The sequence below is a fragment of the Homo sapiens genome, chromosome 20 (genome assembly GCF_000001405.40).
Source record: "Homo sapiens chromosome 20, GRCh38.p14 Primary Assembly".
Taxonomy (NCBI): domain Eukaryota; kingdom Metazoa; phylum Chordata; class Mammalia; order Primates; family Hominidae; genus Homo; species Homo sapiens.
The window spans coordinates 47,389,496-47,405,881 of record NC_000020.11 but is presented as its reverse complement, the minus strand read 5'-3'; the positions used below and the strand labels follow the sequence as shown (position 1 = coordinate 47,405,881).

The window sequence follows — 16,386 nt, the reverse complement described above, 5'->3', positions numbered from 1 at the left end:
CAAAGAAACAAACAAAAAATGCCATGCTTTGCACTATTTTTTGTCTTGCAAAGTATAGCTATTTTTCATAAAAAATTATTTATGTTACTATGTAAAGGATAATTTTGAATGAATAAATACATGTTTAATTTTTTTCACTTTTAACTTCTAATATAGCAAATATCAATAGACATAACCACATAAACCAAAGCTCTTTGGAGTCATTAATAACCTGACAACAGCTTTTTTGTCTCATTTTGTTTTGTTTTGTTTTGTTTTGAGACGGAGTCTCACTTTGTCACCCAGGCTGGAGTGCAGTGGCATGATCTCGGCTCACTGCAACCTCCGCCTCCCAGGTTCAAGCGATTCTCCCGCCTTAGCTGCCCGAGTAGCTGGGATTACAGGTGCGTGCCAACACGCCCAGCTAATTGTATTTTTAGCAGAGATAGGGTTTCACCATGTTAGCCAGGCTGGTCTCAAACTCCCGACCTCAGGTGATCCACCCACCTTGGCCTCCCAAAGTGCTGGGATTACAGGCATGAGCCACCGTGCCTGGTCCTGAGACAACCATTTGAGAACACTGACCTAAGCCACTCATGCTTGTTTCCTTCGACTTGCCAGTGATTTTATTAGGAATGTGATGCAATTCTAGTAAATAAGATTTAAAGTTAGCTGAAGACTTCCGAGGAAGTTTTCCTGCTAGAAAAATAAAAAAGAAGAGCAGCATGGGAGGAAACAGGTTCTCTTCTTCTACTCCACTGGATTAATGTGTATGTGATGTGCCTCCTGGAGCAGTGGCAGCCATATTACAACTATGAGGTTACAAGGTTGAGAAAAAAGCCGACACACTGAGGATGGCAGAGTGAAGAGATGGAAAGAATAAGGTCCTTTAAGATAGTGTTGAGCCTCTATCCACCAGCCCAGGACCACCTATCTCTGGATTTCTTGTTCTGTAAGATAATAAATCTCTCCCCACAGATCATAAAATCTATAAAGCCAGAGTTTTTCTTGGATTTTCAGGAGTGGTGAGGGGGTTGATCTGTTTTATTCATTGCCATATCCCCAGCACCTAGAACAGGACCTGGAATATAGTAAGTGACAGGAAAATGTTTGTAGAATAAATGAATGACTCCTTAAAGATATTCCTTGTTGTATTTTGTTATTCTTGTTACTTATAGCCAAAACACCGTGTGTGTGTGTGTGTGTGTGTGTGTGTGTGTGTGTGTGTGTGTGTGTGTATCTTGCTGTGTCACTAAGGCTGCAGTGCAGTGGCCTGATCATGGCTCACTGCAGCCTTGACCTGCTGGACTCAAGTGATCCTCCTGACTCAGCCTCCCAAAGTGCTGGGATTACAGGTGTGAGCCACTGCTCACAGCTCAAAACATTTTTAATTGATTCAAACGTCCAGCCCTACTCCAATTTCTGCTTATGGGAATTCTTTTCAGCCATCCTCCTCAGTAAGCCTTTCATCAAACAGTGTCTCAGCCCAAGTTGAGCATGCCCTAACTTTTTTTTTGAGACGGAGTTTCGCTTTTGTTGCCCAGGCTGGAGTACAGTGGCGTGATCTCGGCTCACCGCAACCCCTGCCTCCCAGGTTCAAGTGATTCTCCTGCCTCAGCCTTCCGAGTAGCTGGCATTACAGGCATGCATCACCATGCCCAGCTAATTTTGTATTTTCAGTAGAGACAGGGTTTCTCCATGTTGGTCAGGCTGGTCTCGAACTCTCAACCTCAGGTGATCCGCCTGCCTCAGCCTCCCAAAGTGCTGGGGTTACAGGCGTGAGCCACTGCGCCCAGCCACGCATGCCCTAATTTATAACCTCACAACACCATGGGGTTATATCTATTTCAGAACTTGTCACTTTTTTGCGGGGGGCAGGGGGTGGCTGTCTCTTTGGTCTATTTCACTAGAAGTGGAGGTCAAAGGCTTATTAGTTTGGGTAAAATCTAGGCTGCTATAACAAAGAGACATTAAGTTTAGTGGCTTAAACAAAATCAAGTATATATCTCTCTCACTAACAACCCAAGTTAGGAGGTCCTAGGGTAGCAGGGAGGCAATGGCCAGCTTCAACACACAGCTTCAATCTCTGGGTCGAGGTACCTGCTCTAGGTCCTGCCATCACACCTGCATCCTGGCCAGTGGAAAATGGCAGAAAAAGGGGCAAAGGGAGAACATATCCATTCCTTTTAATAGCATGACCCATTAAGTGATGATAAAGTGTGTCAGAGCAAAAAAAAATAGCATGACCTAGAAGGAACATTTATCATTGTTGCTTATATCTCACTGACCAGAACTCAGTCACATCAACACTTAGATCCAAAGCAGGCTGAGAAATGTAGTCATCAGGCCAGGCACAGCAGCTCACACCTGTAACCTCAGCACTTTGGGAGGCCGAGGCAGGCAGATCACCTGAGGTCAGGAGTTCAAGACCAGCCTGGCCAACATGGTGAAAACCTGTCTCTACTAAAAATACAAAAATATCCAGGCATGGTGTTGTTGGGTGCCTGTAATCCCAGCTACTCAGGAGGCTGAGGCAAGAGAATTGCTTGAACCCAGGAGTTGCAGTGAGCCAAGATCACGCCACTGCACTCCAGCCTGGGTGGCAGACCTAGACTCTGTCTCAAAAAAAAAAAAAAAGAAAAGAAAAAAAAAAGGAAATGTAGTCATCGGGGGCCGGCCATGGTGGCTCACCCCTGTAATCCTGGCACTTTGGGAGGTCAAGGTGGGCAGATCACCTGAGGTCAGGAGCTGGAGACCAACCTGGCCCACGTGGTGAAACCCCATCTCTACTAAAAATACAAAAATTAGCCGGGCGCAGTGGCCGGCACCTGTAGTCCCAGCTACTCGGGAGCCTGAGGCAGGAGAATCACTGACCCGGGAGGTGGAAGTTGCAGTGAGCCAAGATTGTGCCACTGCACTCCAGCCTGGACAACAGAGTGAGACGCCGTCTCAAAACAAAAAAAGAGAAATGTAGTCATCAACTGGATAAACATGCACCCACCTAAAACTCATAACTTCTGTTATTAAAGAAAGAAGGGGAAAAAAGAGATATTAGTGCTGAAACAGCTGTCTCTGCCATAATACTCAGTTTGATTCATCCTTGTACCCTCAGAGCCTCAGAAAGGCTTGGCACATAGTGTTGAGGAAAAATTTAATGAAAGAACAAGGCCAGGCGCAGTGGCTCACACCTGTAATCCCAGCACTTTGGGAGGCCGAGGCGGGTGGATCGCGAGGTCAGGGGATCGAGACCATCCTGGCTAACACAGTGAAACCCCGTCTCTACTAAAAATACAAAAAATCAGCCAGGCGTGGTGGCGGGCGCTGTAGTCCCAGCTACTCGGGAGGCTGAGGCAGGGGAATGGCGTGAACCCGGCGGGCGGAGCTTGCAGTGAGCCGAGATTGCACCACTGCACTCCAGCCTGGGAGACAGAGCAAGACTCCACCTCAAAAAAAAAAAAAAAAAAGAAAGAAAGAACAAATGAGAAAGAACAGAACCCAAGAATCTTGCTTTTTTTTTTCTTTTTGAGACAAGGTCTTATTCTGTCACCCAGCCTGGAGTGCAGTGGTGCAATCACAGCTCACTGCAGCCTCGACCTCCTGGGCCCAAGCAATCCTCCCACCTCAGTGTTCTGAGTAGCTGGAACCACAAGCACGCACCACCACGCCTGGCTTCTTTTTTTTTTTAGACGGAGTCTGGCTCTGTCGCCCAAGCTGAAGTGCAATGCCGCGATCTCGGCTCACTGCAAACTCCACCTCTCGGGTTCAAGCGATTCTCCTGCCTCAGCTTCCCGAGCAGCTGGGATTACAGGCACCTGCCACCACACCCGGCGAATTTTTGTATTTTTAGTAGAGACGGGGTTTCACCATAGTGGCCAGGCCGTTCTCGAATCGAACTCCTGACCTCAAGTGATCCTCCCACCTCAGCCTCCCAAAGTGCTGGGATTACAGGCGTGAGCCACCACGCCCAGCATTTTTTTTTTTTTTTTTTTTTTTGGTGGAGATGCGGTCTCTCTACGTTGCCCAGGATGGTCTCAAACTCCTGGGCTCAAGTGATTCTCCCAATTAGGCCTCCCAAAATGTTGGGATTACAGGTGTGAGCCACAGCCCCCGGCCAAGAATACTACTCTTGATGGATATACCATTAATCTGGAAATCAAACAGAAACCAGAAGAGACAATATTAGCTCATGAACACAGCCAGTCGTGTTGGCTCATGCCTGCAGTCCTAGCGCTTTGGGAGGCAGAGGCAGGAAGACCACTTGACCCCAGTAGTTCAAGACCAGCCTGGGCAAAATGGCGAAAACTCTTCTCTACAAAAAATACTAAAATTAGCCGGACATGGTGGTGCGCACCTTTAATCTCAGCTACTCGGGAGGCTGAGGCAGGAGAATCTCTTGAACCCAGGTGGTGGAGGTTTCAGTGAGCCAAGATCGCACCATTGCACTCCAGCCTGGGCGAGAGAGACTGTCTCAAAAAAAAAAAAAAGGCCGGGTGCAGTGGCTCACGCCCTGTAATCCCAGCACTTTGGGAAGCCAAGGCGGGCGGATCACGAGGTCAGGAGATGGAGACCATCCTTGTTAACATGGTGAAACCCCGTCTCTACTAAAAAAATACAAAAAAATTAGCTGGGCGTGGTGGCAAGCGCCTGTAGTCCCAGCTACTGGGGAGGCTGAGGCATGGGAATGGCGTGAACCTGGGAGGTGGAGCTTGCAGTGAGCCGAGATTGCGCCACTACACTCCAGCCTGGGCGACAGATTGAGACTCCGTCTCAAAAAAAAAATAAAATAAAAGACATTGTGCACTTTAAATATACCCAGATCCTAAGATCCTAGCACAGTTGGAGCCAGGTGCTCAAAGATGTCTTCAGAATCTTCTAGTCCTTCATGCTGTCAGCGTCTTCTGTGAGGCTTCACTCTCAGTGTGGTGAGAGGGGCCAGCAGTCTCAAGAAAGGCGTGTCTCTGACAGTTTCAGCAGGAAGTGGTAGGAAATGAATCCTCTGATTGGCCCAGTTTGGGTCATGTGCCCAGATCTGACCAATCACATTGGCCAGATGGATGAAGCCCTCCGATTGGCTAGGTCTGGGTCACATGTTCACATCAAGCGTTGAGAGATCCAGATCTGGAGTAGAAGAACGAAAGTGATTGGCAAGAGTCTGCTCAGCAGGAAAAGCTCTACTGATCTACTCCATAGCTCCCTCTCTGTCTGGCTCCTGTTTCATTCTTCCCATTACAAAAATCCAGGGAAACTATTGGGCAAAGGCAGAGTCTCCTCCAAGGGCCTCAGTTGCTGGGCAGGCAAAGACCAAATGGTCTTTTCTTTAAGGGGGCGGGGTGCTATAATCACTTATATTAATTATTCAACCACATAAATTAACTTCCAGGACTCTGGATATATTTCGGGGGAAGAGTCTAAATAATTCATATTTGATTCATAATACGTGCATATTCTAATACCAGATAATTGGAAAATTATACACCAGAAATACTGTTCATGCAAATATGCATTGTTACTCTCTGCATAAAGGAGGCATTGCAGGCATAATTAATAATGATGGTGCCATAATAACAGTAAGTCTAATTCTGTGTTAAATTCTGTTTGATTATAATGCATTAAATCTATGATTTAACGGTTTTATACATGTACATGCACACGCATATAATTTTACAAAAAATCATAAATGTGATCATATCATATATGTTGGGGGAAAGAAAGTTTTTGTTTTTTGTTTTTTGTTTTGTGAGATGGAGTTTTGCTCTTGTCGCCCAGTCTGGAGTGCAATGGCACAATCTCAGCTCACCGCAACCTCCACCTCCCAGTTTCAAGTGATTCTCCTGCTTCAACCTCCCGAGTAGCTGGGATTACAGGGCCTCACCACCACGCCCAGCTAATTTTTACATTTTTAGTAGAGACGGGGTTTCACCATGTTAGCCAGGCTAGTCTCGAACTCCTGACCTCTGGTAATCCACCCCTGCCCTTGGCCTCCCAAAGTGCTGGGATTACAGGCGTGAGCCAACATGCCCGGCCAGGAAGTTTCTTCTAGAGAAATCTTTTTGGTTTTTCTCTTTCTTTTTTCTCTTGGCTTCTCCTTCCCTATTTCTCCTTTTTCTCTCCCGTTCTCACCTCGGGTTTGTATGCTCCCATCTTTTTCTCCATGCCTAGGTAATTTTATACAAATACACATATACAGCCAGGCTCGGGGGCTCATACCTTTAACCCCAGCACTTTGGGAAGCCGAGGCAGGCGGATCACTTGAGGTCAGGAGTTTGAGAACAGTCTGGCCAACATGGTGAAACCCCGTCTCTACTAAAAATACAAAAATTAGCCAGGTGTGGTGGGCTCCTGTAATCCCAGCTACTCAGGAGGCTGAGGCATGAGAATTGCTTGAACCAGGAGGTGAAGTTGCAGTGAGCTGAGATTGCGCCACTGCACTCCAGCCTGGGCAACAAAGCAAGACTATATCTGGAAAAACAAACGAACAACAACAAAAAAAACAAATACACATATACATACATATTTGGATACACGTACATGTATATGTAAGTATAGACATGCAAACATACTACATACACATTGAATACACAGGAGTTTATATAAATAGCATCATGTTATACTCATTTTTCTGTATCCTCCTTTTCTCATTTAACACATCACATTGACATCCCTCCAGGCCACCTGGCAAAGAGCATTTTAGTGGCTGTACAATATTCTGTGGTGTGGCTATACCGTGATCTATTCAGAAACTCTGTAAGGATGGATATTTACTTTGTTTGCCATTTTTGCCAAGATGAACAATATTGCACACATCTTCTTGCACATATATTCTTACATATTAGTTCCCAAGAGTGGAACTTATCCCATGGAAATGTTAAAAGGCCTTGCCCAAAGGCTGTAACAATAATGTATTAGGGTTGCCGGGCGCGGTGGCTCACGCCTGTAACCCCAGCACTTTGGGAGGCCGAGGCGGGTGGATCACATAAGGTCAGGAGTTTGACACCAGCCTGGCCAACATGCTGAAGCCTGGTCCCTACTAAAAATACAAAAAATTAGCCACGTGCGGTGGCGCATGCCTGTAATCCCAGCTACTCGGGAGGCTGAGGCAGGAGAATCACTTGAACCTGGAAGGCAGAGGTTGCAGTGAGCAGAGATGGCACCATTGCACTCCAGCCTAGGCAACAAGAGAGAAACAATGTCTCAAAAAAAAAAAAAAAAAGCACAATGACGTAGAGCCAGGCGAGGTGGCTCACGCCTGTAATCCCAGCACTTTGGGAGGCTAAGGTGGGTGGATCACCTGAGCTCAGGAGTTTGAGACCAGCCTGGCCAATGTAGTGAAACCTCATCTCTACTAAAAATACAAAAAATTAGCTGGGCATGGTGGTGGGCACCTGTAATCCCAGCTACTCGGGAGACTGAGGCAGGAGAATTGCTTGAACCCAGCAGGCAGAGGTTGCAATGAGCCGAGATGGCGCCATTGCATTCCAGCTTGGGCAACAAGAGCAAAACTCAGGTCTGAAAAAAAAAAAAGTATTAGAGTTTTTTTCCTTATGGCCACCAGAAATAACTGTTAAGGTTCTTTGTTTTTCTTTCTCTCCTTCCCTTCCTCTGCCTTCTGTGTCTCCTCCCCCTCTCCCTCTTCCTTTCCCTTCTCCTTCATTTAAATTAAGGTGAAGTTCACATAAGGGAAAATTAACCAAAGTGGTATTTACCACATTCACAATGCTGTGTAACCACCGCCTCTATCTAGTTCTAAAACATTTCTATCACCTCAAAAGGAAACCCCATACCCACTTCAGCTGTTTGTGCAAAGGCAAGGTCATTAAGCATTGAGTGGCAGCCAGAAGGACTTGGCAGAATACAGGCATGGATAAATTGGCTAATTTTAGTTCACAAATGCTGCATTTTAATAACCGTTAATAACTCACATAGTGAATTACTATTAAGTCGCCCCTGGATGCATATAGACCTGAAGTGAGTTCTGGCGGTGTCTGTCATTCAGGGACAAGAACTGAAAGGAGGACAAGAGATTTCAATATTCTAGAACACTGTGGCTTCTGTGATCTTTCTTGTGACAGATACAGCCTACTAGCTACGCCAACTACCATCCCTAACCTGTGACTCTTTTCTTCTTCCTATTTTTTTTTATTTATTTTTTGAGACGAACTTTCGTTGTTGTTGCCCAGGCTGGAGTGCAATGGCATGATCTCGGCTCACTGCAACCTCCACCTCCCAGATTCAAGCGATTCTCCTGTCTCAGCTTCCCGAGTAGCAGGGATTACAGGCATGCACCTGGGATACAGGCCACCGCGCCTGGCTAATTTTGTATTTTCAGTAGAGACGGGGTTTCACCATGTTGGCCAGGCTGGTCTCAAACTCCTGATCTCAGGTGATCCACCCGTCTTGGTCTCCCAAAGTGCTGGGATTACAGGCGTGAGCCACCATGCCCAGCCATTCTTCTTCCTATTTTAGAAGCTGGAAAGCTTCACATTTGTTCTCCCAGGTTCCTTTGCAACTGCAGTTGCCAACTCTGCTGTTGGATTTCCAAGAAATGTTTGCTTTCCAGATAAAAGGGAGAGACACAACTGGCTCCAGCCCTTTTCCTGCCTCTTCCTGCTTTGAATACTCACATGATACCTGGAGCTGCAGCAGCCATCTTGTTTACCAAGAAGAAAAGCCAAGATGATCACAGAATAGCCAGCACTGGTATTGTTCCGCCAGCGACAGCAGATACTTACCTCCAGATTTTTGGGGAAAAAAAATGTAAGCCACTCTTTTTTTCCTTTCTTCTGTTTTGTTTGTTTGTTTGTTTTGTTTTGTTTTTGTTTTTATGAGACAAAAGTGAATCACAGGTCAGAGATGCAAAGGTTGCTGGCCTGTCATACATGCCCTGTGTTGGGCTGGAATGCAGTGGTGTGAACGTGGCTCACTGTAGCCTTGACCTCCTGGGCTCCAGTGATCCTTCCCACTCAGCCTCTCGATTAGCTGAGACCACAGGCATGCACCACCACACCCAGCTAATTTATTTTTTGTAGAGTGTGGTCTTGCCATGTTGCCCAGGCTCTTCTCAAACTCCTGGGCTCAAGCAGTTCTCCTGCCTCGGCTTCCCAAAGTGCTGGGATTACAGGCATGAGCCACTGTGCCTGGCCATGTAAGCCATTCTAAATCATGGTTTCTGCTATTTAAAGCCCAAAGCCCAAAAAGTTCCTGATTCATTTCTTATGCTACTTAGGTGCAACACTAATATGCCATAATTATAATTATACTTATGATTTCTTTTAGCTTGGGAATTCAAAAGTCCGTTCCTCAAGTGAAATCTTGTTTTTTTTTTTGAAACAGGATCTCCCTCTGCCACTCAGGCTGAGGGCAGTGGTGAGATCACAGCTCACCGAAGCCTCCACTTCCCAGGCTCAAGTGATCCTCCCACCTCAGCCTCCCGAGTAACTGGGAGTACAGGTGCGTGCCATCACACCCTGCTAATTTTTCATATTTTGTAGAGACAGCGTTTTGCTATGTTGCCCAGGCTAGTCTCGAGCTCCTGGGCTCAAGGGATCCTCTTGCCTCAGCCTCCCAAGTGCTGCGATTCCATGTGTGAGCCACCTCGCCAGGCCCGAAGTGAAATATTATTAAGCTCCTAGAGAGTTGGCACCCCCAGGATTTCTTTTTTAATGAATTGGAAATTCAAAGTTGAAAAATAGATAAAAAACAAATCTACAGGCGCGGTGGCTCACACCTGTAATCCCAGCACTTTGGGAGGCCAAGGCGGGTAGATCATCTGAGATCAGGAGTTCAAGACCAGCCTGACCAACATGGTGAAGCCTCGTCTCTACTAAAAAGACAAAAAATTAGCCGGGTGTGGTGGTGCACGCCTGTAATCCCAGCTACAGGGAGGCTGAGACAGGAGAATTGCTTGAACCCGGCAGGTGGAGGTTGCAGTGAGCCGAGATTGCGCCATTTCACCCCAGCCTGGGCGACAGAGTGAGACTCCATCTCCAAAAAAACCAACCAACCAAACAAATCAGTCCGGGTGTGGTGGCTCACACCTGTAATCCCAGCACTTTGGGAGGCTGAGGCGGGCGGATCACCTGAGGTCGGGAGTTTGAGACCAGCCTGACCAACATGGAGAAACCCCGTCTCTACTAAAAATACAAAATTAGCCAGGTGTGGTGGCACATGCCTGTAATCCCAGCTACTCGGGAGGCTTAGGCAGGAGAATCACTTGAACCCGGGAGACAGAGATTGCGGTAAGCCGAGATCGTGCCATTGCACTCCAGCCTGGGCAACAAGAGGAAAACTCCATCTCAAAAACAAAAACTAATCACAGCAGCCTGGGCAACATGGTGAAACCTTGCCTCTACAAAAAATACAAGAATTAGCCAGGTGTAGTGGCAGGCACCTGTAGTCCCACCTACTTGGGAGGCTGAGGTTGAAGGATTGCTTGAGCCTGGGAGGTTGAGGCTGCAGTGAGCCATGATCATGCCACAAACTCCAGCCTGGGTGACAAAATGAGACTGTATCTCAATACAAAAGCAAATCACAGAGGCCAGGCACAGTGGCTCACACCTGTAATCCCAGAACTTTGGGAGGCCGAGGCAGGCGGATCACCTGAGGTCAGGAGTTCAAGACCAGCCTGGCCAACATGGTGAAACCCCGCCTCTACTAAAAATAAAAAAATTAGCTGGGCGTGATGGCAGGTGCCTGTAATCCCAGCTACTCAGGACGCTGAGGCAGGAGAATCACTTGAACCCAGGAGGCAGAGGTTGCAGTGAGCCAAGATCTCGCCATTGCACTCCAGCCTAAGTGACAAGAGCAAAACTCCATCTCAAAAAAAAAGCAAATCACAGGTAAGAGATGCAAAGGACACAGGCCTGTCACACATGTCCTGTGTTGTGCTTGAACTCTGGTAATTTTATTTACATTTATTTATTTATTTATTTATTTTGAGATAGAGTCTTACTGTGTTGCCTAGGCTGGAGTGCAGTGGTATGATCTCGGCTCACTGCAATCTCCACCTCCTGGGTTCAAGCAATTCTCATGACTTAGCCTCCCGAGGAGCAGGAACTAGGTGTGTGCCACCACACCCGGCTAATTTTTGTATTTTTAGTAGAGATGGGGTTTTGCCATGTTGGTCAGGCTGGTCTCGAACTCCTGACCTCAAGTGATCCTCCTGCCTCGGCCACCCAAAGTGCTGGGATTACAGGTGTGAGCCACTGCACCTGGACTGAACACTGGTAATTTTAAAATGAAATACATTTATTACTTTTTACAAATACTCAAGTAAAAGACCAAAAAAATTCAAATTTAATTTTAATTTAAATCATTGTAAGATGTATGGGATTAATATCCACACTCAGGATTTCTCAGTACTCACTTTTCATAAAAATCAGCTCAAAATAAAACATACCTAGAAAATTGCAGAATAGAGGGTCCTGTGGTGCCTATCTAGTCTCTATTCCTCTAGGGGGAATGTAGTGGGGTCTTAAGATACCCTCTTGGCTGGGTGCAGTGGTTCACGTCTGTAATCCCAGCACTTTGGGAGGCCGAGACAGCCAGGTTACTTGAAGTCAGGAGTTCAAGATCAGCCTGGCCAACACATTGAAACCTTGTCTCTACTAAAAACACAAAAATTAGCCAGGCGTGGTGGCGTGTGCCTGTAGTTCCAGCTACTCGAGAGGCTGAGGCAGGAGAATCACTTGAACCTGGCAGGTGGAAGTTGCAGTGAGCTGAAATCATGCCATTGCACTCCAGCCTGGGTGACAACAGCAAAACTCCACCTCAAAAAAAAAAGATACCCTTTTAGAGCCAGGCGTGGTGGCTCACACCTGTAATCCTAACACTTTAGGGAGGCCGAGGCAGGCAGATCACCTAAGGTCAGGAGTTCGAGACCAGCCTGGCCAACATGATGAAACCTTATCTCTACTAAAAATACAAGAATAAGCCAGGTGTGATGGCCGGCGCCTGTCGTGATCTGATTATCTGAAAGCAAAAGGAACAAAACTGGAGTGCAATGAGTGAATGAGCTCACATGTGTCTTGTTTAGCCTTAGAATTCATATTTAGCAAAATAAGTAAGCCTGTGCTCCTCACCTGAACTCCTGGATAACTCACTGTGGATATTTACACATCACTGGGTAGCTGTCTGTCATGTCTCATTTATTCCCACACATGGGCTCATTCATTCATTCAACAAACATTTGCAGACAGCCCCTTCTCTGCTGTGCTGCCCTTTGCTTTCATGCAGTGTATCTTCATACTTTCTCTAATAAGTCTGCCTTTCTTTACCAAAAAAAGAAAAAACAAACATTTGTCCTATGACCTACTGTATGCCTAGCACCAGGATGGGTGGGGTTAGTCTGACTTCTTTTGAGTGACCTAAGCCCAACTCAAATTGGCTTGTGTAAAAAAGAATTTGGCTGGGTATGGTGGCTCACGCCTGTGATCCAGCACTTTGGGAGGCCGAGGCAGGTGGATCACTTGAGGCCAGGAGTGTGAGACCAGCCTGGCCAACGTGGCGAAACCCCGTCTCTACTGAAAATAAAAAAATTATCTGGACATGGTGGTACACACCTGTAATCCCAGCTACTTGGGAGGCTGAGGTAGGAGAATCACTTGAACCTGGGAGGCAGAAGTTGCAGTGAGCTGAGATTGTACCACTGCACTCCAGTGTAAACGACAGAATGAGACTCTGTCTCAATAAATAAATAAGGAATTTATTGGCTTATGTAACTCTATGAAACTTATGTAACTTATAAAAGCTCTAGTGCAAGTCGCCTTCAGGCATGGTTGGTTCTCACAGTATGAGAATTACCCTCACTCTTCATCTCTCAGCTATACTTTCTTCTGTGGAGGCCTGCTTCACCCTCAGGTAGCTTCTACCCTGAGATCATAGCAGTCTTGGCCTCTACCCACTCTAGCTTAACCACCCACAGAGAAAGGGAAAGCCCTTTTCCCAACAGTTCCAGTGAGAGTCCTGACCTGGCTCTAATTTGATTCAGTTTGAGTCACATGCCTTCACTGGATTGATTGGGAGGTGCTAGATGGTTGTTGGCCAGTGTGTCATCACCTGGTCACACCAGTAAGTAAGAGATTCAGTCCCATCTGAATCACGTGGATTGAGAATGACGGAAAAGGTAGTTTCCCAAAAGAATGCTAGGGCACAGTGACCAAAAAAAGAAGAATGGATGCTGGCCATGCAAAAAACAACAGATGTCCAACTATAGACATGACAAAAATGAATAAAATACCTTTTATGGGACTATAGAACCCCCACATGCACCTGGCAGGAGTGTGGGCTGGCAGCTGCTATGTGGGAGAGCAACCTGGCAGTGTTTTGCACCCACATAGCCTATGCCCCGGCATCTCCTTCCTGGGGAGAAGAGGCAGTGATGTGTGTGGAGGCGGCCATATGGGGGCCATTGCTAGGAGAGTACTTTGGTAAAATGTGGTGAATGCACAGAAGATGGGGAAGCCGAAGAAATGGACTAGATATTTACAGAGACCCGTGTTGAGATCTTCAAAACAGAGTGAAAACAAAAACCAAAGAACTCTGTAACAGGAGGCTATTTGTGTAAATGTAAAACGCATGTCATGGTGAGTAATCAAGATAGCGTTGCCCTTGGGGGATGTGACTAAAAGGAAGCACAGAGCTGCCCAATTAAATAATACATTTCCCAGCTTTCTTTGCAACTAGGCGTGGCCACATGACAAGGTTCTGGCCAATGGGATGGGAACAGAAGTAATGCAGGCAACTTCCTGGACCAAGACCATAAATGGAAAAGAGAGTGCCCTCCCTCTCTCTTCCTTTCTTTCCTGCAGGAGCTGGAGTGACTCTCTTGGTCCCTAAGGTGGAAGCCATGTGTTGAGGACACTGAGCAACAAGATAGGAGGAGCCTGGGGCCCAGCCAGAGAACAGGAAGCCACCCAAATAGCTCTCAACCCCTTATAGATGGACTACTAAATGGGAAATAAAGTAGACTGTTCTCTCTTGATCTTTGTACAGAATCTATGTGCTAACTAATATAGTGCTCACTGGGAGGCTGAGACAGGAGGATAGCTTGAGCCCAGCTTGAGCCCAGGAGTTCGACACCAGCCTGGGCAACATAGCAAGACCTCGTCTCTACTTAAAAAAAAAAAAAAATTAGCGGGGCATGGTGGCACGTGCCTATAGTCCCAGCTACTCGGGAGGCTGAGGCAGGAGGATGGCTTGAGCTCAAGAGCCAGAGGTTGTAGTGAGCTAATATCACACCACTGTATTCCAATCTAGGTGACAGAGACCCTGTCTCAACAAAATAAAACAAAAAAACCATAGTGCTCAATAGGTTGATATTATCATGACTTTCTCCTCAGTTGTCATTATGATGATGATTATTTTATTGACCTAAAGCATTATGTACAGTTCAGCAAAGTCTTGTGGTGCCTTAACAAACAATGGAGGCAGTAACCCTTAGAGTTCTTGAGTTGCAGGTGTAGGAAACCACTGCTGACTCAAGTAAAAATATTGGTAGAATATGGTGTAGCTTATTGACTCAAAAGAAAGGCTGGAGGCCTTGTGTGGTGGCTCATCCCTGTAATCCCAGCACTTTGGGAAGCCAAGATGGGCGGATCACCTGAGGTCAGGAGTTTGAGACCAGCCTGGCCAATATGGCGAAACGCTGTCTCTACTAAAAATACAAAAATTAGCTGGGCGTGGTGGTGCACGCCTGTAATCCCAGCTACTAGGGAGGCTGAGGCAGGAGGATTGCTTAAACCTGGGAGGCAGAGGTTGCAATGAGCCGAGATCACACCATTGCATTCCAGCCTGGGCGACAGAGTGAGACTCCGTCTCAAAAAAAAAAAAGGCTGAAACTAGGCTTCTGGAAGGCTAGGATCTGAGGCAAGTCCTGGAATCCAGGTGACAGGAACTCATCAGCATTGGAGTAAAAGAGATATTCAAAACAGAGTGAAGAGTAAGTATAAATAACAGGAGGCTGGCTGGGCGTGGTGGCTCACGCCTGTAATCCCAGCACTTTGGGAGGCCGAGGCGGGTGGATCATGAGGTCTGGAGATCGAGACCATCCTGGCTAACATGGAGAAACCCCATCTCTACTAAAAATGAAAAAAAGAAATTAGCCGGGCGTGGTGGTGGGCGCCTGTAGTCCCATCTACTCGGGAGGCTGAGGCAGGAGAATGGCTTGAACCTGAGAGGCGGAGCTTGCAGTGAGCCAAGATCGCGCCACTGCACTCCAGCCTGGGCAACAGAGCGAGACTCGTCTCAAAAAAAAAACAGGAGGCGGCCGGGCGCGGTGGCTCACGCCTGTAATCCCAGCACTTTGGGAGGCCGAGGCGGGTGGATCATGAGGTCAGGAGATCGAGACCATCCTGGCTAACAAGGTGAAACCCCGTCTCTACTAAAAATACAAAAAATTAGCCGGGCGCGGTGGCGGGTGCCTGTAGTCCCAGCTACTCGGGAGGCTGAGGCAGGAGAATGGCGTGAACCCGGGAAGCGGAGCTTGCAGTGAGCCGAGATTGCGCCACTGCAGTCCGCAGTCCGGCCTGGGCGACAGAGCGAGACTCCGTCTCAAAAAAAAAAAAAAAAAAAAAAAAAAAAACCGGAGGCTATTTGTGTAAATGTAAATCGCATGTCACGGTGAGTAATCAAGATAGTGCTGCCCTTGGGGGATGTGACTAAAAGGAAGCACAGAGCTGCCCAATTAAGTATTACATTTCCCAGCTTTCTTTGCAGCTAGGCGTGGCCACATGACAAGGCCACATGTGGATGTGGGGCAGAGTGGACAGGGAGGTTGTGTTTGCACAAAAGCATCTACCTGTGATGTTTAAGTTGAGATGGATGAAAAGAAACTGGCCATGTGCAGATACTGGAAGAGAGAATCCCACGCAATATGCCATTGGAAAGGAATCTTAGTTTGAGAAATTCAAGAGGTGCCAGTGGTGGGGGTGGTGTGGGCGTGGCAGGGGATAGACTCTTGGAGAACAAAATGATGAAGAAGGCAGAGAATGTATGAGATGAAATCAGAGGCCAGGAAAAGATCATGGAGGAACTTGGAGGCCACTGAAGAGAGTCTGGGGCCAGGCACAGTGACTCATACCTGTAATCCCAACTCTTTGGGAGGCTGAGGCCAGAGGATTGCTTGAGCTCAGGAGTTCAGGACCAGCCTGGGCAACACAGGGAGACCCCCATCTCTACAAACAAATATAAAAATTAAAAAATTGGCCAGGCGCAGTGGCTCACACCTGTAATCCCAGCACTTTGGGAGGCCAAGGCAGATAGATCATGAGGTTGGGAGTTCAAGACCAGCCTGGTCAACATGGTGAAACCCCGTCTCTACTAAAAATACAAAAATTAGCCAGGCATGGTGGCAGACACCTGTAATCCTGACTACTCTGGAGGCTGAGGCAGAGAATTGCTTGAACCCAGGAA

At 47.0% G+C, this 16,386-nt stretch overlaps 1 long non-coding RNA gene across 3 annotated transcripts in view, besides 3 other annotated features; it reads left to right on the top strand.

Moving 5' to 3' along the window:
* LINC01754 (long intergenic non-protein coding RNA 1754) overlaps nucleotides 1–16,386 on the top strand; it is a 29,379-nt gene that overhangs the window by 6,263 nt on the left and 6,730 nt on the right. For all 3 annotated transcript variants that reach the window (NR_146496.1, NR_146495.1, NR_146494.1), the window contains one exon: nucleotides 8,537–8,733. This is a non-coding gene — a long non-coding RNA (long intergenic non-protein coding RNA 1754). The remainder of the gene's footprint in view (nucleotides 1–8,536; nucleotides 8,734–16,386) is intronic.
* Nucleotides 13,065–13,114: an enhancer, noted in NCBI's record as "active region_17991". NCBI's record gives its function as "activates an Ori minimal core promoter by ATAC-STARR-seq in GM12878 lymphoblastoid cells {active_cell/tissue: GM12878}" and the evidence as "EXISTENCE:reporter gene assay evidence [ECO:0000049][PMID:35858748]".
* Nucleotides 13,375–13,564: an enhancer, noted in NCBI's record as "active region_17990". NCBI's record gives its function as "activates an Ori minimal core promoter by ATAC-STARR-seq in GM12878 lymphoblastoid cells {active_cell/tissue: GM12878}" and the evidence as "EXISTENCE:reporter gene assay evidence [ECO:0000049][PMID:35858748]".
* Nucleotides 13,735–13,864: an enhancer, noted in NCBI's record as "active region_17989". NCBI's record gives its function as "activates an Ori minimal core promoter by ATAC-STARR-seq in GM12878 lymphoblastoid cells {active_cell/tissue: GM12878}" and the evidence as "EXISTENCE:reporter gene assay evidence [ECO:0000049][PMID:35858748]".